This window comes from Homo sapiens, chromosome 9 (assembly GCF_000001405.40).
Source record: "Homo sapiens chromosome 9, GRCh38.p14 Primary Assembly".
Lineage (NCBI taxonomy): Eukaryota > Metazoa > Chordata > Mammalia > Primates > Hominidae > Homo > Homo sapiens.
Window position 1 is genome coordinate 123052756 of NC_000009.12, and position 25544 is coordinate 123078299.

Here is a 25544-nt window from a genome sequence, read left to right on the forward strand (position 1 = left end):
CCCATCTCTACCAAAAAAAGAAAAAAAGAAAAAAATTAGCTGGGCATGATGGTGCACGCCTGTAATCCCAGCTACTTGGGAGGCTGAGGCAGGAAAATCTCTTGAACCTGGGAGGTAGAGGTTGCAGTGAGCCAAGATCACGCCACTGCACTCCAGCCTGGGCAACAGAGTGTGACTGTGTCTCAAAAACAAAACAAAATGAAACAAAAAACTTTGCATACAGAGTCAGATAATTTATGGAAACCCATAAGTCTGTTTATTAAATCTCAGGCTAAGAATACTATACACACCTTCATTTTATTTTGTCATAATTCTTGTGAGGCATTCCTTAGATGGGTTCAGTATTTAATTTTAAAAGACAAAGCTATTAAGAGAAAACATAATGTTACTGGGTTTTTTTTGTCACTTTTCTTGGCTCTATCAAATTAGAAGTGCTTGAGATGTGACATGACCAATTGAAATAACATTTCCAGATTTTGCAGACTTTTGTAGGACCATCTTGGTTTTACCCAGACATAAGACATCTGTTTTCATAGGCTTAACAGTCTTATTCTCATTCTTTATTTTGCTCAGTTCTACTTCCAAACATATGAAATGAAATGACAAATGACATGAGTGCTATGTAATTAGGAGAGAATTATTTTACCTCAGAGAGATTTTTCATCCTCATTTATTTTATATTAAGCATAGCACACTTTCAATTTCATTTTCCTTCTTTTGAATTTTTATCCCATCTGTTTAGGGGATTTTAAAAACTTAGTCTTTAAAATGACTTCTGATAAGCAGTAGCTGACTTTTTTAAAAGAAAATGTAACCAAAAATTGTTACTTTATTCCTGTGAAGTATATTGTAAAGATAGGACATGGTATAATGTATTGGAGTGGGTTTTGGTGGTGTTTTTGTTTTATTCTGTTTTCTTAACTGTTACATGATGGCATTTAATAAAGCATCTGTAACATTCTGGATTAATCTTAAGAAGAACTAACTTTTTCTTTGGGCAGCAAGCTACTCTGGAAATAATAATTTTCCCTATGTTGGTTATTTCTCATGGCAGCCTTCCACTGCATTTTCTTTGTTTGGGTACTTTCTTTTCTTCCTGCCGTTCTTAGCTTTCTATTTTTCAACTTGAGTTTACAAAAGGATGTGTATTCAAAGGGTTTCCTACAGTTCCCAGTACCTTGTTAATCCTGAGAAATTACCCAGTGAGCCAATTCTCACAGTAAGGTATAAAAATAGTCATCCAGAAAGATTACAGAATGTGGTACCACTGTGGTTTTAACTAATGGAAGACTTTTAAAACCAAGATGGGGAGAAGAAAACAGCACAAATGTTACTATTTCCTTCGATTTTTATCTGCACAATCTATTTTAGGAGAGCCTTCAAATTTAAAAAAGTAATAGAGCTTCACCACTGCTTTATTGGATACACTCAAAGATCATCATAATTGGGGACAAGAAAGAAATCACCTGCAAATAAATCACAAGAACAGAGCCTACCTGTGATTACTATTGAGCATATATCCACAATGTTCATTTAACCAATTTTATTCCACAAATTTAGTCCAGCATTTTATTGAGTGCTTTAATAAGTTCTGGTGTGTGAAGTTGGGTGGCTTAACTTCTCTAAGTCTGAATTTCCATATTGTAGAATAAGGAAGTAATTAACCTTTTTTTATTTTAATAAACTTTATTTTCAAGAACAGTTTTAGATTTACAGAAATACTGTAAAAATAGTACAAAGAATTCCTGTATACTCTGTTATTAACTCTATTATTATTACCTTGTATTATTATGGTACATTTATTATAATTAATAACTCAATATTGAGATGTTGTTAACTAAATCCCAAACTTTATTTACATTTCTTTAGTTTTTATCTAATATCCTTTTTCTGCTCCAGGATTCCCTCCAGGTGAGTGCACTACATTTAGTCCTCATGTTTCCTTAGGTTCCTGTTGACTGTAACAGTTTCTTAGGCTTGCATTGTTTTGGATGACTTTGACAGTTTTAAGGAATACTGCTCAGATATTTTGTAGAATATCCCTCAAGTGAAATTTGTCTGATTTTTTTTTCATGAAGTCATGAATTTTGAGGAGGAAGAACACAGAGGTAAAGTGCCATTTTTATGACATTAATGGTACATGCTGTCAGCGTGACATCAGTGTTGACCTCAATTATCTGGCCAAGGTCATCTTTGTCAGTTTTCTCCACCATAAAGTTTCTTTTCTCCACCATGTCATACTGTACTGTACTCTTCTGAAGGAAGTCACTGTGCACAGCCCACACTTAAGGAGTGGGGAGTTTTGCTCCCCTTCCTTGAAGGTGAGGTATCTACATAAATTATTTGGGATTCTTCTGCATGGAGGATTTGTCTCTTCTCCTCCATTTATTTATTCAATCATTTATTTATGTAAGTATGGACTCCTGGATATTTCTTTTATTGATTGATTGACTGAAAGTAGGGTCTTGTTCTGTCACAGAGGCTGGAATGCAATGGCACGATCACAGCTCACTGCAGCTTTGACCCCCCAGGCTCAAGCAGTCCTCCCACCTCAGCCCCCTGAGTAGCTGGGACTACAAGTGCTGCCATGCCTAGTTAATTTTTTTGTGTTTTTTGTTTGCTTGTTTTGTTGAGGTTTTATTTATTTATTTATTTTTGTAGAGATGGCATTTCACCGTGTTGCCCAGGCTGGTCTTGAACTCCTTGGTTCACGCAGTCCTCCTGCCTTGGCTTCCTAAAGTGCTGGAATTACAGGTGTGAGCCATCATGCCCAGCCAGATATTTCTTCTTCTTTTTTTTTTTTTTTTTTTTGAGATGGAGTTTAGCTCTTGTCGCCCAGGCTGGAGTGCAGTGGTGTGATCTTGGCTCACTGCAACTTGCGCCTCCTGGGTTCAAGTGATTCTTCTGCCTCAGCCTCCTGAGTAGCTGGGATTACAGGCTCCTGCCATCACGCCTGGCTAATTTTTGTATTTTTAGTAGAGACAGGGTTTTGCCATGTTGGCCAGGCTGGTCTCGAACTCCTGACCTCAGGTGATCCGACCACCTTTGGCCTCCCAGAGTGCTGGGAGTACAGGCGTGAGCCACCGTGCCTGGCCATTTATTTTATACTTATATAACCCAGTTTATTTTGTTGCTCAAATTGCTCCAGCTTTGACCATCGGGAACTCTTTCACTTGGCTCCCACGTCCCTTTGGCATACCCCTATCAATGTAGGTTTGTTTTCTTTGTGGTGTGGGTGAAGGGAGACTATTTCCTATTTTTGGCCAATACAAGATGTTCCAGGCTATCTGCCCTGGTCCTAGAATCAGCCAGCCATTTCTCCAAGGAGGGTTGGTTCCTTTTGTTAGTAAATGGTATTAGATACCAAAATATAGATGCTAGGTGTGCTCCTTGCTACTGGATGTTTTTGCTTCTAGGCCCTGTCAACTGATAGAGCAAGCAAATATATGTATGGTAATATCTTTTTAAATGTTGACAGCAAATCATGTATTGCAGTTAGAATAGGATGGAGTCAATAAACTTTATGTGCAATTTTTTGCAACTTTAGATTCCATTCTTATAGACTAGAAGGAGCATAGGACAAGTATACAAATGACTATTCAGAAACAGAGTAATTGCTGTAAGAGTGGTATCAATGTGGTTTGTAAGTTGGTACAACTTTTCTGGAGGACAAATTGGCAGGGCCACTCAAAATCCAAAAACAAGGATTATGCTGTTTCTTTTTTCTTTTTTTTTTTTTTTTTAATTGATCATTCTTGGGTGTTTCTTGCAGAGTGGGATTTGGCAGGGTCATGGGACAATAGTGGAGGGAAGGTCAGCAGACAAACAAGTGAACAAAGGTCTCTGGTTTTCCTAGGCAGAGGACCCTGCGGCCTTCCGCAGTGTTTGTGTCCCTGGGTACTTGAGATTAGGGAGTGGTGATGACTCTTAACGAGCATGCTGCCTTCAAGCATCTGTTTAACAAAGCACATCTTGCACCGCCCTTAATCCATTTAACCCTGAGTGGACACAGCGCGTTTCAGAGAGCACAGGGTTGGGGGTAAGGTCACAGATCAACAGGATCCCAAGGCAGAAGAATTTTTCTTAGTACAGAACAAAATGAAAAGTCTCCCATGTCTACTTTCTACACAGACACAGCAACCATCCGATTTCTCAATCTTTTCCCCACCTTTCCCCCTTTTCTATTCCACAAAACCGCCATTGTCATCATGGCCCGTTCTCAATGAGCTATTGGGTACACCTCCCAGATGCGGTGGTGGCCGGGCAGAGGGGCTCCTCACTTCCCAGTAGGGGCGGCCGGGCAGAGGCGCCCCTCACCTCCCGGACGGGGCGGCTGGCCGGGCGGGGGGCTGACCCCCCCACCTCCCTCCCGGACGGGGCGGCTGGCCTGGCGGGGGCTGACCCCCACCTCCCTCCCGGACAGGGTGGCTGCCGGGCGGAGACGCTCCTCACTTCCCAGACGGGGTGGCTGCCGGGCGGAGGGGCTCCTCACTTCTCAGATGGGGCGGCTGCTGGGCGGAGGGGCTCCTCACTTCTCAGATGGGGCGGTTGCCGGGCGGAGGGTCTCCTCACTTCTCAGACGGGGCGGCCGGGCAGAGACGCTCCTCACCTCCCAGACGGGGTTGCGGCCGGGCAGAGGTGCTCCTCACATCCCAGACGGGGCGGCAGGGCAGAGGCGCTCCCCACATCTCAGACGATGGGCGGCCGGGCAGAGATGCTCCTCACTTCCTAGATGGGATGGCGGTCGGGAAGAGGCGCTCCTCACTTCCTAGGTGGGATGGCGGCCGGGCAGAGACGCTCCTCACTTTCCAGACTGGGCAGCCAGGCAGAGGGGCTCCTCACATCCCAGACGATGGGCGGCCAGGCAGAGACGCTCCTCACTTCCCAGACAGGGTGGTGGCCGGGCAGAGGCTGCAATCTCGGCACTTTGGGGGGCCAAGGCAGGCAGCTGGTAGGTGGAGGTTGTAGCGAGCCGAGATCACGCCACTGCACTCCAGCCTGGGCACCATTGAGCACTGAGTGAACGAGACTCCGTCTGCAATCCCAGCACCTCGGGAGGCTGAGGGTGGCGGATCACTCGCGGCCAGGAGCTGGAGACCAGCCCCGCCAACACAGCAAAACCCCGTCTCCACCAAAAAAATACGAAAACCAGTCAGGCGTGGCGGCGCGCGCCTGCAATCACAGGCACTGGGCAGGCCGAGGCAGGAGAATCAGGCAGGGAGGCTGCAGTGAGCCGAGACGGCAGCAGCACAGTCCAGCCTCGGCTCGGCATCAGAGGGAGACCGTGGAAAGAGAGGGGAGAGGGGGAGAGGGGGAGGAGGGAGAGGGAGAATGCTGTTTCTTTAGGGAAATTGAGTGATTGTGGAAACTGTCTTTTCTCCCTTAAGAATCACTGTTCTACTTTACAACCTTGTTTATAGCAAAAGGGGTAGAATAGCTGCATATCCCAAAGCTGGAGATTTTGGCAGAGTAAATTATGGTATAATAGTGTGACAGGTTACTGTGCATTAAAAATACTAAGGTAGGATAATGGCCAAATAATATGAAAAGATACAATATTTTGTAGTTAGCAAAAAAAAATTTTTCTAAAATCTACACTCATTTTATAAAAATAAATGGTTATAACCTAAAAAGTTTGGCATATGCGAACCAAATATTAGCCATAGTTATTATCTGAATGGTAAAATTCTTCTTTTTCCTTCCAGTATTATTGTTACAAAAAAGCAAAACAATTTTATTAAAATAAGAAAACAAAAAGGTTTTATTATACTAAGAAAGCCAAAAGTTAGATTTTTTTTTTTTCCTTTTAAAATGCAGTAAGGTATATCATTGATTTTAGGTTATGTTTGGGAAAGAGATTTGGATTTTAGCATGAGGCGTTAATTCTCAGTATTTGTTTAGTGAATAAATTTAAGAAGTGCTGATATTTTACAGTATAGTTTTAAATAGAATTACTTCCAACAATGCCCAAATTGTGCCATGCCAGTCACCCCTTTTTCTCTTGAAGTTTTCAAAGAAATATAAACACAAGGAAGAGTGACAAGTGGAAAACAAGGTTTAATTTGTTAACTGGGAGCCACCAGCAGCACATTGGACTTGAATATATGTCTGGGTTTAAAGGCCTTTCTCTTTGTAATGCTCCAGTCTTCCCCCAGCATGCCCCAGATACTCAGGATATTGCAGCATGCATTTGAGAGAGAACAAAATGTCCTGGGTGCCTTTGTCAGCAGTGACCCTACTTACTACATGGTTCAAGTGGTATTCTGAAATCAGATTAGTGTTCAGTCTACTTGTGAAGTGGTCAGTATGAAGGAGAAGGCATGGACCTCCTCCTGTATACATAGTAATAATGACTCATAAAAGTTTATGACCAGCAAAATGATCTGATTGGTCCATGCATTTCAGAAAAATTAATCAGACACGGTTGTGCCAGTAGAAGTAAAGAGATAAAGGAAGATCAGTGTTATGGTCTGAATGTTTATGTCCCCCCAAAATTCATATGTTAAAACCTAACCATGGCTAGGCAAGGTGGCTCACACCTGTAATCCCAGCACTTTGGGAGGCCGAGGCGGGCGGATCACGAGGTCAGGAGATCGAGACCATCCTGACTAACACAGTGAAACCCCGTCTCTACTAAATAATTAAAAAAATTAGCCAGGCGTGGTGGCGGGCACCTGTAGTCCCAGCTACTCAGGAGGCTGAGGCAGGAGAATGGCGTGAACCCGGGAGGCGGAGGTTGCGGTGAGGCGAGATTGCGCCACTGCACTCCAGCCTGGGTGACAGAGCGATACTCCGTCTCAAAATAAATAAAAATTAAAAAACAAAAACAAAAAAAACTAATCACTAATGTGATGCTGTTAGGAGATGGGGCCTTTGGGAGGTGATTAGGTCATGAGGGCAAAGTCCTTATGCATGGGATTTGTGCTCTTATAAAGAAGAGACCTAGAGAGCTGCCCTGCCCCATATGAGAACACAGCAAGCACATGCCACCTATGAGCTGCAAAGCGACCCTTCACCAAACACTGAATTTTCCAGCATCTTGATCTTGGAATTTCCAGCCTCCCAGACTGTAAAAACAATTCCTGTTGTTTATAAGCCACCCAGTTTGTAATATTTTGTTAGAGTAGCCCAAAGCGACTAAGACAATCATTTAGGCTGTTATATTAGTCTTGGTAAGATGAAGCATGGGTCTGCCTTTGGGTGATGCACTAGAAGTGGAAAGGAAGAGACAGAATCCAGACTCTGCAGAAAGATCTCCAGATCAGTGATGATTCATGGTAGCTAGAATCAGAAACAAGGTGGTAAAACCTGCTGCCATTCACAAGAATAGAGAACTGTTGAGAAATGTTGGTGGAGGGAGGTGGGGAATGTGAGATTACAGTTTTTGTGAGTGTAGTATAATTTACATACAATAAACATACACCTTATGTGTTCATTTTGATGAGTTTTGACAATTTCTTATATTTGTGTAAACACCAAAGAAAATATAAACATTTCTGTCATCTCAGAAAGTTCCCTTATGCCCCTTTTCAGTTGATTTCCCTCCCACCCCCAGGTAACCATTTCGGTTTCTGTCACCATGGGCTTTTGCTCAACATAATGTTTTTGAGATTTATTTGTGTTGTTTCATGTATTAGAGGTTCATTTGTATTGCTGGGTAGTATTCCATTAGATGGATATACCATAATTTATCACTTTTTCTGTAGATGGACATTTGAGGTTTCTAGTTGGGCTATTACACATGAGGGTATTAGGAATGGAATTGCTGGGTCATGGTAGTTAGGTATATATTTAACTTTCTGGGAAACTGCCATGTTCTTTACCAAAGTGGTTATATCATTTACACACCCATTAGCAACCATTGAGAGTTCCAGTAATTTCATATTCTCACCAACATTTGGTATTTTTATTTTAGCCAGTCTCATGTGTGTCAGTTTGTGTTTATAATTTGTGAGCTGTATATACTGTTTATTTTGCTGCTTGAAATGTCAGGGACTATATACCACTACAATTACAGGGTTTTATTGAAACGTGTACTACACTGCATAGACAGGAATATACAGACTTTTGCAAAATGCAGCAAACATTTTTAACATTTGTTATTATGTGAAAAAAGTACAAAAGTGTTCAAAGAGATATACATTTCAAGTTGTAGCAGGTTGTGACAAAGTTTCTGAGGGCAAAGCATGTATAAAATTAATAACATGTTAGTATATTTAAAATCATAACAAAAATCTTCTCTCTGGTCATGCTGACCATAACAAATTACTGTGTTGTAGTATACTTATAACAAGGGTTAACAAACTACCACCTCAGGGCCAGGTTCAGTTTGCCTCTCACTTTTGTTTATTCATTTTTGTTGTTGTTGTTATTGTTGTATAAGACAGGCTCTCTCTCTTACTGCCCAGGCTGGAGCACAGTGGCACAGTCTTGGCTCACTGCAACCTCTACCTCCTGGGCTCAAGGGATCCTCTTGCTTCAGCCTCCCGAATAGCTAAGACAGGTGTATGCCAGCACGCCCGGCTAATTTTTGTATTTTTGTAGAGATGAGATTTTGCCATGTTGCCCAGGCTGGTCTCAATCTCCTGGGCTCAAGTGGTTTACTCGCCTCGGCCTCCCAAAGTGCTAGGATTACAGGCATGAGCTACTGCGCCTGGCATGCGCTTGCTTTTATAAATAAAGTTTTGTTAGGACACAGCAGTGCTTGTTTATTTACATATTGTCTATGGCTGCTCTACAAGGGAAGAGTTGAATAACTGCAGCACTGAATGGCTTGCAAAGCCAAAAATTTTTACCTGACCCTTTATAGAAGAAGTTTGCAAGATGGCAATAGTGCATAATCCTATTGCATTTTTGTTTTCTTCTGGAAATTAAGGGTGTTTTTCTTGGGATAAATGAATTAGCCAAAACACAAAACCAGTTGATCAAACAAAACAAAACAAAACAAAACAACCCACCTCTCTTATAACAGCAGTAATTTTCAGAACGTAACAACTGACAATACTTTTGCCATTCATTCCGTGTTCTTTTAAAGTCACCATCTGTGCACTGTTGCCGTAAGTACATTTATAAAAACTTGTCTGTTAAGCCATTATACTAACTACAGCCTCCTTAAGAGGATGTATTTGGTTGACTTGATCAGTTTGGCCACGAATAGTGTTACATGTGTTGCATTGGCAGGCTCTCTACATCAGTTACATTTATGTTTAACTCCTTAGAAATAAAAGGAATATGGCCGGGTGTGGTAGCTTACAGCTGTAATCCCAACACTTTGGGAGGTCAAGGCGTGCGCATCACCTGAGGTCAGTTGAAAACCAGCCTGACCAACGTGGAGAAAACCCGTCTCTACTAAAAATACAAAAATTAGCCAGGCGTGGTGGCACATGCCTGTAATCCCAGCTACTTGGGAGGCTGAGGCAGGAGAATCGCTTGAATCAGGGAGGCGGAGGTTGCGGTGAGCCAAGATTGCTCCATTGTACTCCAGCCTGGGCGACAAGAGCGAAACAAGAAAGAAAAGGAATATATATTGTTGTATAAAGCTTAATTTTGTAAGCACTTGCTTTGACTATTTTGAAAAGCTCTTTGCTTTTTTTCTCTTAGGGGATCATCCATAATGTTGCTGTGTTTTATTTTCAGAACCTTTTCAAATTTAATGTCATTCTGATAGGAACTTACTAAACTCATCATTATTAGAATTTCTGCATCACTTTTGCATGATGTGGCCTCCAGCAAGTCAAATGAATTTATTCCAAGTTCTTCAGCATATTTCCTTAAGGCCAAATATTTTAAGCAAATGATTCACATGGAACTCCTCAATTTATTATCATTCTTGAAGGCATCAAAAATTGAGTGTGAATTTTCAAAATGACCTTCTTTTAAGGGCATTTTGCCCCTTCATTCTCTGATAATTCCATGATTAATGGATATGGGATGGCAAATTGACAAGAACTGGCCCAGTTATAGAGAGTACTTTCAGTTTTTTGTTATTTTTTACGTCCTGTGTACAGTTGAATTTCTAAATCTCGTCTCCTCTCTCTCTCTTTTTTTTAATTGAGACAGGTCTCGCTGTGTCGCCCAGGCTGGAGTGCAGTGCCACGATGTTGGCTCACTATAGCCTCTGCTTCACTGGCTCAAGCGATTCTCATGCCTCAGCCTTCCAAGTAGCTGGGATTACAGGCACCTGCCACCATGCCTGGCTAATTTTTGTATTTGTAGTCAGAGACAGGGTTTCACCATGTTGCCAGGCTGGTCTCAAACTCCTGGCCTCAAGTGACCCACCTGTCTCAGCCTCTGAAAGTGCTGGGATTACAGGCATAAGCTACCATGCCCAGCCCAAATCTCATATCTCTAATAACTGTATCCTTTTTCAGGTTGTCATCTCCGTAATCAGTGTGATATGATTGATGTAACTGGTGTAAAATATTTTGAACGTTTCCATATTCCTCTCCATTCTCAATTTAATTTCCTAACCTTCGTAGTTGTCTTAAACCACAGTTTATCATTCTTAGCATTTTTTAGAGCTTCTGTTGTTGTTTTATAGAATTCCTAAATTCATCTGATTCTCTCTGGATTGTTTCCAGTTTTGGCTGTTAGGAATAAAGCTTCTGTAAACATTTGAGTTTAAGTCTTTTCATGCATTTATATGTTCAGTTCTCTTTGGTAAATACCTAGGAATGGAATCACTGGGTTGTATGGTAATTATGTGTTTACTATTGTAAGAAACCACCAAACTGTTTACAAAGTGTTTGTACCATTTTGCATTGTATAGGAGTTCCAGTTGTTTCTTATCCTTTGCCAACACTTCTTAATTTTAGCATTTTGTAGATATGTAGTGGAATCTCATTGTGGTTTTAATTTGCACTGCCCTGAGGGCTAGTAATGTTGACATCTTTTCAAGTGCTTATTTGCCATGTGTTATATCTTCCTTAATGAAACACCTCAATCATTTACACATTCCCACTTTAAAAAATTAATTGTCTTTCTCATTAATTTGGAGAGTTATATATTCTGGATACAACTCCAACTTTATTATCAGATATGTTTTGTAGGCATTGTGTCCTGGCCTGTGACTTACCTTTTCATATTTTAAACAGTTTTTTGAATAGTAAGATTTTTAAATTTTGATGAAGTGTCCAGCTTGTCGTTTATTTATAATTCATATCTCATAGCGACCCCTCTTCTAACTCTTCAGCTCTCTGTTCAGCATATTCCTCACTAGCACTCTACCCTACAATTCTAGCTACCTTGCCCGCCCCAAAATTTGTGTGCGTGCTCTCTCACTCGCTCTCACTCTCACTCTCGCTCACTTCGCTCGCTCTCTCATTTTCTCACTCTCGCTTGCTCTCCCTCTCTCTCCCACTTTCTCAACTTTTGAAGATACCTCCAACGCGGAGCTCTAATTCAGTCTGGAAGCTGCCACCATGTAATTAGCTGCTGTAGTCATAGATCTCCCTTGGATTTTTTCCTTTTGTTGAAGAGCACCACAGTCCTGAGCTGCCATTAACTGTTAAGACTATGTTAATAACTAGAAGTAACATATGCCACTAAAGCTCTTTGAAAAGCAATTTGGCGACATCCTTGAAGGTATAAATAGTTTACTGTTTAAGAAGGAGCATAGGCTTTAAAGTTAGTTCAGATCCCACAACTATAAAATATTCATGGCCTTCGGAACATGATTACCCAAAAGGCTAGAGAAATTATTGGACAAGAGAAGAACATCACTTGCATTTTTCATCTTAAAACAGAGGTATCATGTTCTTTGGTAGTATACTGATTATGATGTATTCTTACCAAGGGGAATCAACTCTATTGTCTTAGCTATGAAGACACTGCATTGTTAAAGTAGAAGGTCATATTTCTGTGTTCCAGTTCTTTACTGTGTCAGCAAATGAAATTTAACAAGGGGAGAATATTAGAAATAACTGGGTGCTTGGTGTATTTTACAAAGGTTTGTTGACATTATTGACATTTGTTCCGTTTTAGTTAACTCATTATAGAAGAGGAAACAGTTTTTGTCCATTGGAAAAAGCAAAGGATATTTTCCCATAGCCTGTTTGAATCCCTTGGCATTTGGTGGTCTTGTTCATACTGAGTAGATTGCTTTGTGCATTCTTATGCCATTTGCCTCTAGGACAAATCCCAATTAAGTAACTACTCTTTTCCATTTGAAAACTGGCATATGGGCTTCATTCCAAAGCATCAATTAAAGCAGCAGTTTTTCTACTGGGAGCACTTTACCTCCTCCTTTTGCGATTAGTTTGAGTATTTTCCTATAGGAAATCCATTCTTAATAGCACATTTTCCATCTTACAATAGAAGGGTCACCAGCTGCAGTTCTTTGCAGTAAGGATGGAGTATAATATGGAAGTGTATAGAGTGAAATGGGTTGCTTTTCTTCCATCTTTTTTCCCCCTTTACATTTGCTTTTGCTTGAGTGGTTGGTCCCTGAAGAGGCAGTAACTATGGGCATACATATGTGTATGTATGTCCCTGCAACATTTAAAGTGTGTAAATGAGAAGACCTTGCCTAAACCTGAATAAGAGTTTACATGATTAACCTAACTAAACCCTCTCTTTCCTTATGTTTCCACAGGAGTCTCCCCAGGACAGTGCTATCACCCGGGATATTAACCGAACATTCCCAGCCCATGACTACTTTAAGGACACAGGAGGAGATGGACAAGATTCCTTATATAAAATATGCAAGGTATTTCATGTCAAAAAAAAAAAGGACTCAATTCTGAGTGGTGGTTCTACTTTGAAATTACATAAGAAACAACTACAAAGTGTAATTTGTATTTGATGTTCAAGAATTCCAAAAAGAGAAAAGACATTGCAAAGTCAAAGGTGAGAACACAATTTTAGATTCATTAAAGAGTAGAAAATAATAAGAAATAAAATGGTAGGGTTTCCTTTCCCCTTCTAATCAGGATTTTTAGATGACAGTTCCCTGGCTCCACATTTAGACTTTCAAAATTTGTTTTTATGTTAAGAACCTCTGAGCCCTGTGACACTGCAGACTCCTTTTCAGTATTCACTTTATAAGTGATGAACTTGGCACCTACGGTACGGTCTCACAGTGGGAAGTGTCATTGCCCATCCAGGTGTACTTATAGCACTGCAGCATAGTAAATGATGGAAGATTCTGATTTCTCTCAAAAGGTCTGTACCCGAACACTAAAGGAAGTAATAGCCTGTTCAATTTCCGTATTCCATTTTCAAATAGATTTGGCACATTAGAGCTATTGGGTTATAAAAGGAGGAGATAGGAACGGAGTTTTTCAGTCTTCATCTGTTCTCAGAATTAGTCTTCAGTCTTTTCCTCCCAAAAGTAATCAAGTACTTATTTAGCATCTCCTATGTAGTAAGTACAGGTAAGGCATGAGACATGTCGCTAATGCTATATGACAACTGGTTTTAGGACAGACTAGCAGTAAAGGATAGGCTCGCCAATGAAAAATTCGATGATTTAAACTACAAGGACAGTTGAGTTTAGAGAAATATTTTTTAGATTTCATTTTAACTTTTACATAGGATACAGATTTCTGTGGTAATCTTTCTTTCTGATCATCCTTTTTAGCCCCTTCTCAGTTTTATTTCCTGCTTAAGCAGTGACCCCTGCCATCTCTCACTTTACTACAGAATTTCCTAGAAAGAAACGCTATGTCCACTGCCTCTGGTCCCTCGTCACATACTTTTGACTCCACTATATTCTAGTTCCTATTTCATGGTGCTCTTCCTTGCAGAGCTTTCTGCTCTTGAGCATAAGACATGTCACTCTCTTGGGTACGGGCTCCCTCTCATGCCTTCACTGACTTCATCATTTTATCTCACACTACCTGCCCCTAAACCAGAGGCCTTCCTCTGGGTGCTCAGTTGGGTAGTTTGGCTAGCTCTACACCATCTCCCTGGGTGATCCCTTCTACCCCCAAAGCTTCAGCTATCATCACTGTACAGATGTTCACAAATCTACATTAACTCAAGGTCTAAATTTCCAGCAGACAATTAGTCTCCATGTAAAAGTCTGTCAATTGTATCAAACAGAATGGGTTTAAAAATACAGTTCATTTTAAAACATGGTTTATTATGAAAAATTTCAAACGTAAACATTAATTAGTATAATGATTAGTCTAACTGATAAGTATAGTTAATATCCCCCACACTAATTATTTATCAATGTATTGTCACAGTTGCTTCATCTTTTTTTTCCTTTTTTCTAAAGTACTTTAAAACAAATCTTAGACATCATGATCCTAATTTTTTAATACTACATCTCTAAAAAATAAGTTTATCCATCTTTACCAATTAATTAGTAGCTACTCCACATTCAAATATCCTTAATACGGCTAGTTAGAATCAAGAGCCAATAAGACCCACATTACATTAAGTTGTTGTCTCTTTTTAAATTAAACATAGTCCTCCTTTTCTCCCATACCATTGTCCTGCTGCAGACAGTCATTTCTGTTGGTTTTCAGTCCTGTCTTTGTCTAGGTTGAGTTAGATATGACTGATGTCTCTCTTAGCTTCATTCTCTCTCTTCACTGCCCTGGTACAGGCCAGTATCTTACATTGCTGGCAGTTTTACAAAAGCTGCTCTGCCTTTGGGTTCTGGCCTGTTGATTCTTTGCTCCTTGCCTAACGCAGAATTAGATCATTTCAGTGGCCTCCACAGAAACCTTTATAACTGCTACTTTATAACCCATGGAATTAAATGAAAAGTCCTAGTTCATTTCCCTGGATTCCTTAGCTTAGTGTTGAAGATATTTTGTATTATATCCTGACTTAGCCCTTATTGCTGCTTCTCCAAATATTGTATGCATTAACTACATTGAACTTCTCACTGTGCTCTGGTTGATTCACTTGTCTAACTTCCCCACTGAACCGTGATGTCTTCAAGGGCAGGGATCATTTCTTAGATATGGTAGCATCTGTAGCACTTGGCACAGTGCTTGGTCTATAGTAGGTGTTCATTAAGTGTTGATGAATTAGTGAAATGTCTTTTCTTCCCCCAGATTTCGTTACAGCCAACATGAAACTTATACTCCAAACATTTTCCAAATGTATCATATAATTTCACACGTATATGATTCCTTTATCGTCCATCAGCCTGAAAAATATGCTCCCCTCCATTTTCTACCTATAGAAATTCAGTACAGTTTCATCCTATTATTACTGCATAATTGGTGAAGCTCTGTGCTGAGCATGTTAAATGAGAGGACTAAATGAGAAGAATACATCAACTCTGTGTTATTAATACTAGGCTTATTCTCTTATTACAAATAAAGTAAGTTACATGCTCAAGATTCATATCTAGGCTGGGCGCGGTGGCTTATGCTTACAATCCCAGGACTTTGGGAAGCCAGGGTGGGTGGTTCACCTGAGGTCAGGAGTTCGAGACCAGCCTGGCCAACATGATGAAACCCCATCTCTACTAAAAATACAAAAATTAGCTGGGCATGGTGGTGGGCATATGTAATCCCAGCTATTTGGGAGGCTGAGGCAGGAGAATTGCTTGAACCTGAGAGGCAGAGGTTGCAGTGAGCCAAGATTGTGCCACTGCATTCCACCTCGGGTGACACAGGAGACTCCATCTCAAAAAAAAAAAAAAAAAAGAAAAAATCCATATCTAGACATTGGGAGTTGTGGGATTTTAACCCAACTCTGACTAACTCTAAAGCCTCTGTTCTTTTGTAACTGATAAAACTGTTAATGGATATCTTCAAAGACATTGCCTGTTTTCCAGAGAGCTGTGTTAGCATATATTACTACTCATTTTTAACACAGTATTAATACTGGTAATAACATTTGTTAATTGTTATTAATTTGATAGGAAAGTGGTGCCTCGTATTATAAACTGATCATTTCTAAAGCCCTTTTTGCACATCTTGTCTCTGGAAAAGTATGTATGTTTCTCATCCTGTAGCCTTCTTATCAGATAAACTGAAGAAATGGGTGTGGTATAATAAGATTACATTGAATTCTACGAAAATTTATTAATGCGTGATCATAATGTATGTATTTTTAAAAGCTATAGTTTCACCAAAGCTAGTGATAAAACTTGGTTGCATATTAACTTGACTAGCATCTAATAAGTATTGGCACTATATTTTGCCAAGAGTTATATATTCTAAACATACCCAATTCTAAGTTGCTTTCTTGGGACACAGAGCAACTTTGGCACAAAAAATAAGTGGAAAACAAAGGGAGTTTCACAAGAAATAAATTTGTCAAACAAGGAATAGCATGTTGAAGCTATAGGAATTTCCCTTTCTACCACATTTACATGAGAACTGCAAATACCAGTCATAAAAACAGAACTCTGAAAAAGAACTAAAAAACCAAAGAGTAAACCATGAAGAATGTTAGATGTCAATATTCTATTCAAAATAATGTTCAGAGGAGATGGGTAGTAATCATTTGCTGCCAAGAAAAATAAAAATAAGAATTCCAGAGGAACCCACAAATGGTTTCAGAGTAATCTCACTTATCAGAAAAGTTATTACTGGTGTTGTGGAAAGAATTATATTTTGGTGTCTTTGCCAAAAGAGCTTTTCCCAGAAAGAAAAATGAATAACATTAACAGTGTTTCGTGAGCGCATGCTGTATATGAGGTGCTGACTCAAGGTTGAATAGAACATCACCCTGTCCCTCACAAAGCCTACCATCTGGCAGAGAAGATGGACATGTAAAATGCAGTGTGGGGCTGGGCTTGGTGGCTCACGCCTGTAATCCTAGCAGTTTGTGAGGCTGAGGCAGTAGGATCACTTGAGCTTAGGAGTTTGAGACCAGCCTGGGCAACATAGTGAGACCCTGTCTCTATTAAAAAAAAAAAAAATGCAGTGTGGGCCAGGCACACTGGCTCACACCTGTAATCCCAGTACTTTGGGAGTCCAAGGTAGGAGGATAGTCTGAGCCTAGGGGTTAGAGACCAGCCTGGGCAACGTAGTTGAGATCCCATCTCTATAAAAAATTTTTAAAAATTAGGCAGGCATGGTGGTGCAAGCCTGTGGTCCAGGCTACTCAGGAGGCTGATGGAGCAGGATCCCTTGAGCCCAGGAGGTTGACGCTGCAGTGAGCCATGATTGTACCACTGCACTCCAGCCTGAGCAACAGAGCAAGACCCTGTCTCTAAAAATAAAATAAAATGCAATGTGGTAATAATATAATAATAACCATGCATGTATAGCAGGTGCCATAGAGGCAGAGAAGAGAGGAATTCATTCTGGGGGAATTGAAATAAGTTTGGTGCCTGAAGGAAGAGTGCATGTTTGAGGCAGAGAGGGAAAGGACATCCCAAGGAGAGGGAACATCATGAACAACAACAAGGAAATACGAAGTTTTTTTTAGCGCAGAAGTGGTTTTTCCTTAATCTTCCCTACTCCTTCGCCACAGGAAATGCAGTGGTGATAGCTGTATTCATTGTAAAGAAAAAGTTAAGATTGGAGAGAAGTATTGGCACCACTTACTGTCTGTCAAAATGCTGTCCCAGTGTGGGTAGCATCCTCCAGGGTTCTGTATTCAAGGTCCTATAGTGCCACCATGGCCCACAAGTGGCTACATTCATTTACATTTCCTCTGTGTGTTTTATTTTCCAGGCTTATTCTGTGTATGATGAAGAGATTGGTTATTGCCAGGGCCAGTCATTTCTTGCTGCTGTGCTCCTTCTCCATGTGAGTAATTAGGTCTCTGTTATGACTTAACACATGGCCTCCCTCAGCTTATACTAACCTTAGGCTTGAGCATGGTTTTATATTGGGTTTGGACAGACTCTTAAGGCATGAATTTTAACACCTATAGCTGGAAACTTTTTCCTTAAATTAACTTAATGTCATTGTGGAGGAGATATATGATGAGAATAAACGGCAATGTTGAAAACTGGTACAGGGGTAGACTTCCTTTTTATTAATAGGATGATTGGAGAGACTTTAATGTTGGTTGAACTCTTGGGGACGTTTTATCTTCTCTAAAGTAGCCGCTGTCATTAATACTTGTTTTGAGATTTAGGTATTGGGGTAGGAGGAAGGCGGAAAAGTTGGTTTTCTTTTAGTACCATTTTATTCATTCATTGGCTTAGCAAACACCTTTGCCCTCCACCTTTTTTATTTTCTTTCAAATCCACAGAAAACTCTAAACAGTGTTAAGGTGAACAGTCTTTATCTAGTTTACCAATTAATATTTTCCACACTGCTTTTTCTGTTTGTCTCCCTCTGCATCTCTTTTTTTCTCTTTTCTGCATAAACACACATTTTCTTTTTTACTTAAATTGTTTTTTGAAATTATTCTTGAAAGTAAATAACAAACATCAAGACTTCTAAATACTTGATCATATATATGCCTTCTGGGAGCACAGAATTCTGTATCATAATCATAATACCATGATCACATCCAAGAAATTCCACATTGATTCAGTAATGTCTGATACACAATACACATTCAATTTTCTCCCAATTGTCTACTCCATAGAATCTAGCTTTTTTTCTAATCAAGATCTAATGAAGATTCAAATATTGAATTGTCATTTCTCTTTATTCTTTTAATCTAAATTACTCCTTTGCCTTTTTTTGTGTTTCATGCCATTGATAGTTTTGAAAAATTCAGACAAATTGTCATATAAAATGTCCCACAGTCTTGATTTGTCTCATTTTCTCATGATTCAGTTTAAAATGCTTGGCAAGAATACCACACAGGTGATGTCAGCAAAGAGTTTTGAGTACCTGTTATGATCTGTACTGTGCTGAAGATCAGAGGTAAATAAGAGACATGGTCTCAATCCTCCTGGATACAGAGCTTGTGAATCCAACTAGCTTTAAGCACATAATCACACAAGTATATCATTTATTACTTTCAGTGGTGCTATTAAGGTATAATAAAAAGTTTGGTGTAAGATTGTAACAAGGGAGTCTTACTTAGATTAAAGGCTTCTCAGGGGAAGTGACCTGTAAGGAGCAGCCTGGAAAATGATAAGGGATATCATTTTCTTTTGCTCTTTTCTGTGTTAACTTTTCAAAATGTTGTTATGAAAATAATAGATCTATTTGAAAAGGGAGTAGAGAATAGAGTGTTAATGGGAAAGTGAATGGTACAGTATACAGAAGTCCTAAACTGGGGAAACACTTGGTGTATGGGAGGAACTGAAAGGAGGACAGTGTGACTGGAGTATCCTGAGTGACTGGGAGTTGAGGAGAGAGCTAGGGAGAGCTTTGAAGCCCAGATAAGGAGTCTGAATCTTGCTTTTCTAAGCAACAGGTATTCAAGGGTATTAAGCCATTTTGTGTAGATTGCAATACAAGTTTGAGTATCCCTTATTTGAAATGCTTGGGACCGGAAGTGTTGTGGATTTTGGATTTTGGATTTTGGAATATTTGCATTATACCGGTTGAGCATCCCAAATCCAAAAATCCAAAGTGTTCCAATGAGCATTTCCTTTTAGCATCATGTCAGTGTTTAAAAAGTTTCAGATTTTGGAGCATTTTGTATTTTCAGATATGGGTTGCTCAACCTGTACAAGTAAAACAAAAACCACTTTGGTTTTTCTTAACTGAACCCAGCTTGTTGCTATTGGTAGTCATGTAAAAATATGATAAAGCTATGACATGAATAAAGAGGTTGACTTTTTATTTTGTTTTGTTGTTTTAATGAGACTTTATATCTCAAAGTCCCACAAGCCTGGGTGATTTATCTTCGTTCTCACCTTCAGTTCAAGGACATTTATCCCCTTGAAAATGGGTTTTCCAATCAGACCCTCCATGTCTTGTTTTGAACTCTTGCTGCTTGCCAGAGTGTTATAAGTGCTTGTTTAGAGTGAGGGGAGATGGGCTACTTAGCATCAGAATCACCACTGTGGGTTAGGCCACATCTCCTTGCATGTGGCAAAGTGAAGTTGCCTTCCATGACAAAGACTTCAAAGATCTGGGCTTTTGCCCCAGATACTCTTAACTTACCAGTAATGATCTGCTATGCTTTTCTCACTTATTACTTAATCTGATTTGCTCTTTAGTTCTGCTTTCTTCTCAGTGATTTCTGTGCTCAGCCCGCCTCCATCATCTTGTTCCATAGAAGCCTGCCCACCTTCTTGACTTTTTTGAAGGCTTGCTACATTCACACCAATCCTTAAATAACATTTCCAGTGCTTCTTTTTTCTCTTTTGAAAATATCTTGCCAAGTTCTCAGGGAAATAATTATCCATAAAACTATGGAAAATGTAGGTATTATTATAAATGTAAATAGAAGTGAAGGAGGCTTTTGTAGTACTTCAAGCATTACTGCAAGCCTTAGAATATGTAAGGTTCTTCTAAAACAAGCTATATTTTTAACAGTGAGGAAGAAAAACAATTTTGCTAGAATGAAATAGCAGCTAAGGGAGGAAAAATGGTTAAACAGAGGTCCCAGGATTTGGGAAAGATGACACCTACACTGTATATCAGCCTATTTCTGCTCAGCTCAAATTCTGTCCTTTCTACAAAGTCTGTTTCTGACTGCCTTAGGCAGATACAGGCCTTCCTGTTCTTGTATTATCACTGATGTCTAATTCCTATTACAGTTATTTTAATACTGGCTGTGTGAGAGACTCCTTGAGGACAGGAACCATACTGACAAAGAGTAGTCATTGTTAACTATTCCTTGTTTGAGTGAATAAATGTTTTAAACACAACCTTAGGCCTGAGTTTCTGCATAGCACTAAATTTTCTGGTAAGGCAATAATATAAAGCTGGATTTAATATCCTGAGAAAACTTCTGTATGTTTTGTGATTCCCCACCGCCATCCTCCCTACCCAACAACTTGCCTATCTGTTACAGATGCCTGAAGAACAGGCATTCAGTGTTCTGGTCAAGATCATGTTTGACTATGGGCTCAGGGAACTTTTCAAGCAAAACTTCGAAGATTTGCATTGCAAATTTTACCAGTTGGAGCGCCTCATGCAGGTAAAAAGAGAAACCAGCTTGTGTTTGACAAAAAGAGTACAGGACTAAGGAGCACCAAATTGAGGAAATGGTGCCAGGGAGCATTGGTAATTGCCTTAGCGATCCGTGGCTAAGGATGGGTTTCATTTTTATCCTTTATCACTATGTGATTATGATGCAAAGATTAACAAAGTGTTAAACTTTCACACCTCATGGATGTGAGCTGATAAACTCCCAAAAGATCAGATGACTTTGTTAGGGGTCTTTTCCACAGCTAACTCAGTCAAGAAGTACTCCCCAAGGCTCTGAAGCTGACTGGTTAGGAATCTCATAACAAAAGTGAAACAAACTTTCCCAAATGTTTTTTACTTTGGAGAGAAAAACAGGCTTTCCAAATACTTGTCACCATTTTGGGGATTCCTCTTTCTTTAGAACAAGTTTGTGGTCTGGAAAAAAGAGTTGAGTGCCAGCTTAATACCAGATGATAAGTGTTCTAAGCACTTTGGAGATTTTTAGAAAAACACAAGTATTTTACTTTTTTGGCCTATTCCTGGTAGATTTATGAGCCTCCTTAGTGGGAATTGGACAGATGCATATGTGCCCAGAACTAATTGGTTTGCTATTTCAGGAATACATTCCTGACCTGTACAACCACTTCCTGGATATAAGCCTTGAAGCACACATGTATGCCTCCCAGTGGTTTCTTACTCTTTTCACTGCAAAATTCCCTCTCTACATGGTCTTCCATATCATCGACCTGCTTTTATGTGAGGTATGTATCAGAGGCCACAGCACTTTGGCTTTTGTTTGCAGTGTACTTGAGGAGAACAGATTCTGTTTTGAGTGTCAGCTCTGTCAAAACAGAATTGGTCTCTTTAATTATTTTATTTTATTGCTAGGAAATCTAGGTTTAAGTGACTTCCTTGGACTAAAGCTAATGATCGTATTTGTTAAAGGTGTACTCTGAAAAGACGTACTGAATTAGACATTTGTATTAGTTCATATTAGTTTTGGCTGTATTGAATGAAGAAACCCAAAGTAACAGTGATTTTAAAAAATAGCTTTTTGCTCTCTTGTGAAAAAAAGTCAATGTTGGCAGTAGCGTGCCTTCCCCTCACTCTGGCTGTTAGCCGTATGGAGGAGTAGCACACCAGCCATTATATCATATTCAAGCCAGGAGGATTAGAGGATGGGAGAGGGTGCCTCCTCTGTTTTCAAAAGAGACTTCCTGGAAGTTCCATCCAGTATTTCCACTTTATGGTCAGAACTTAGTTACATGACCACACCTAGCTGCAAGGGAGACTTTTTAAAAAATAAGCTGAGCAGGAATTTGCTAAAAATTAGAGATTTATTACTAAAGAGAAAATAAGATATTAGAGTAAATAACAGTCTTTGCCATGACGTAATTTTGGATTTTGTGTGGTGTGTTTAAGAAAAACATAATTATAAAAATAATATATGTTTATAGAAAATATAAGTAAAAATAATTTAAAATACTACAAATCCCACTGTCTATAGGTTACCTCCTTTAACAGTTTGGTTAAAAGCAGTATCCTTTCAGCCTTTTTTATGTGTTCATATATGTGTATGTATAATTACTATACAGAATAGTATGGTTTCCATATGGATGGAACACTATATATATTATGGTTCTCCTATGTGTATATTTAAAAATATGATTGTTATTTATACTCTTTGGTATCCTCTTTTTAAATTTCATATACTTGAACATACACATCTGTACTATCCTTTTTAATTATGCTATATTCAAAACATACAAAAATTCATAAAGAATTTGTATCTACCACTCAGCTTGAAATATTCTAAGAAACAGAAGAAATAAATATTACCAAATATGCCGTTTTTCTTAGTTGCTGCCAAGTATCCCATTATTTGGATGTGCTATACTTTATGTAACCAATTTCTAATCACAAACCTTTAAATTGTTTCTAGCTTTTTAGTAGTATAAACAACCATCTGTTAAGTAGCTACTAAAGGCCAGGTGGCATGCTAAGTAATTTACATAAACTTTTCAGCTAATTATCTCAGAAAACCCATAGGAGAGTATTAGTTATGGAAACTGAGGCCCAGCAGCTTAAGCAGTTTAACTTGATCAACAGATGTTAGTGCTTCCTCTCCTTTGTTCTTAGCCCCAGGATTTGCAGAATGGAGGGAGCCTTGAGCAGATTCAGTTCTGGAATATAGGGCTTATCGACAGAGTGGTTGCTGTGCATGGATTGGGACAGCACAAGATAAAGGAAAAGTTCCCCAGGAGTTATTTCCTGAGAGATCACAACTTTATGACTGATCTTTTGGTTTGGAAGCATGGAATGCTTTGGAAAAGCATTTCTTATTATTGAATATGAGAACAGGGCAAGAAAAGCTCTTCTCTCAGAAAAAGGGGAAGCTAGGTCTTTAAGCAGCTTTTCAATGGCCCTTTAGTTTTTATTTTTCAAGGTAGTTCTGAGATAATGCATTTCCTTCCTTAAGTTTTCACAATTTCTTTAAAAATGTGGGGTATAAGGACAAATAGCATAATAGTCGAGATATAAAAACTGACAGTGTTCTTTTTGTCTGTTCTCTTTCAGGGAATAAGTGTTATTTTTAATGTCGCCCTTGGATTATTAAAGGTACTCATTTATTTATTAGCTGAGTTATCTGTCATTCCCTGCTCTGCACTTGCAATACATTGGTTGTAGTCTCATTCTGAGCAGTCACTGTGCACTAGCATTACCCATGACAGTGGATGTATGCAGGTGGCTCTGACAAAAGCGAAGAAATATCTTCTGGGGATTATAAAAGTGCTGGAAATCTAGCATTACCCCTAACAGTGGATGTATGCAGGTGGCTCTGACAAAAGCTAAGAAGTATCTTCTGGGGATTGTAAAAGTGCTGAAAAGTGCTGAGAATATAAAAAACTTCTTGTGCATCCTTATAGCAACACATTTTTTCTATATGTGTTTGTATTTTCTTCAAGACTTCGAAAGATGACCTGCTGTTGACAGACTTTGAAGGTGCCTTGAAGTTCTTTAGGGTTCAGCTTCCTAAGAGATACCGCTCAGAAGAAAATGCAAAAAAACTAATGGAATTAGCCTGCAACATGAAGGTAAAATAATTTTGCATTAGTTAAGATTCTGTTTTTCACTTAGTGTCTCACTATTCCTGATCATTTATAATACATAATTATTTATGTATTATATTTATAACATTTATAATACATATTAGTGTTAACATTTATAATATATAAATAATATTAATGATGTTTTCTTCTGTATTATATAACTCTTAACCTTTTTTTCCCCAAAATACTTTCCTATATATTATAATCCTACGAATGAAATCTCGTTGTCCCCCCAACCGCCAAACTATAGAAGAGTATTAATATCCCTGTTTTGAGACAAATCAAAACAAAAAGAGGTTGTAGTTCCCTAGTTGTACACCTGGTTAGTGGCAGAATTCAGGTTTCAGGTTTCATGATTTCTTCTACTGTGCTGGTTTTTTGTTTTTGTTTTTTTTTTTTTCTTTTTTTTGAGACAAGGCTAGAGTGCAGTGGCACAATCATAGCTCATTGCAGCCTGGACCTCCCAGGCTCAAGCGGTCCTCTCACCTCAGCCTCCTGAGTAGCTGGGACTACAGGTATGTGCCACTACACCCAGCTAATTTTTAACTTTTTTTTGTAGATTTGGGTTCTCACTATGTTGCCAAGGCTAGTCTCAAACTCCTAGGCTCAAGTGATCCTCCCACATTGGCCTCCTAAAGTGCTGGAATTACAGGAGTGAGCCACCACGCCTGGCCTTAACTTTCAACATTTGTTCTGGTCAGAAGTTCCCTAAAACAAAGCTAATAATACATGAAGAAAACTCAGTTTTATCACTTCAAGTGGCATTTGTGATTCGCACAATTTTTTTAAAAGTAAAAAGGTATAGGATCTTCTTGTGTTCATGTTATCATAACATTGTATTGTATTGTATTGTATTGTATTGTATTGTATTGTATTGTATTGTATTGTATTGTATTGTATTGTATTGTATTGTATTTATTTTCTGTGGGGCTTTTTTTGAGACAGGGTCTCACTCTTGTTACCCAGGCTGGAGTGCAGTGGTGCAGTCACAGCTCACTGTAGCCTCAACCTCCCTGGACTCACTTATTTAGGGCTCAGTTTCTGCTTTTGTAAAATAATATTTTACTTCTCATTCTGGTTATGTGTCAGACTGAGCTAACTCAGATTACCCTTCTTTTAACACATAGAGAGGCTAAATAAAATATACCCCAAGAAATGTTTAAATGCCTGGAAGAACTTGAAATAGAAATGCACAGGTATTTAAAACAAAGTAGCTCAACTAGTGTGTGTAAACTGATATAACACATCTCAGGGGAGTATGGAACTATGTGTAGCTATTAGGGGTTTAATGCTCACACAGACATAGTGGATATGATTTTGGGCCTTTAGGAGGCAGCTGAAAAAGTGAGGCCTTTGCATAAAGTTAAGACCTCTGAATGGCTCCCCTATCTGTTAAAGGAGGAATACAAAAACTACCTATTAGCCTGAGAAACAGTAGAAATCATAATATAAAATGAATAGTGGATTAGAAAAAAAAAAGGAAATAGAACTTCTGGTAATTAAAATAATCATCAGAGTTTAC

The 25544-nt window shown here is 39.1% G+C and overlaps 1 protein-coding gene and 1 pseudogene across 13 annotated transcripts in view, besides 1 other annotated feature; one reads left to right on the forward strand and one right to left on the reverse strand.

The window, feature by feature from the left end:
* Nucleotides 1-25544, forward strand: part of RABGAP1 (RAB GTPase activating protein 1) — a 173196-nt gene that overhangs the window by 121085 nt on the left and 26567 nt on the right. For 10 of the 13 annotated variants that reach the window (XM_047423130.1, XM_017014567.3, XM_017014569.2 and 7 more), the window contains 6 exons: nt 12593-12706; nt 17595-17669; nt 20797-20922; nt 21530-21673; nt 23490-23531; nt 23879-24007. In XM_047423130.1, the coding sequence (XP_047279086.1) occupies nt 12593-12706; nt 17595-17669; nt 20797-20922; nt 21530-21673; nt 23490-23531; nt 23879-24007 (630 nt within the window). Of the gene's footprint in view, nt 1-12592; nt 12707-17594; nt 17670-18656; nt 18747-20796; nt 20923-21529; nt 21674-23489; nt 23532-23878; nt 24017-25544 lie in introns of those variants that run through there. The other 3 variants (XM_024447475.2, XM_024447477.2, XM_011518444.3) reach the window with 3 other exon arrangements.
* LOC100422501 (COP9 signalosome subunit 2 pseudogene) lies at nt 9507-10551 on the reverse strand (annotated as a pseudogene).
* Nucleotides 19567-20240: an enhancer, noted in NCBI's record as "OCT4-NANOG hESC enhancer chr9:125834601-125835274 (GRCh37/hg19 assembly coordinates)". NCBI's record gives its function as "activates a minimal SCP1, AML or CMV promoter by ChIP-STARR-seq in naive and primed H9 embryonic stem cells {active_cell/tissue: H9 hESC(naive and primed)}" and the evidence as "EXISTENCE:reporter gene assay evidence [ECO:0000049][PMID:30033119]".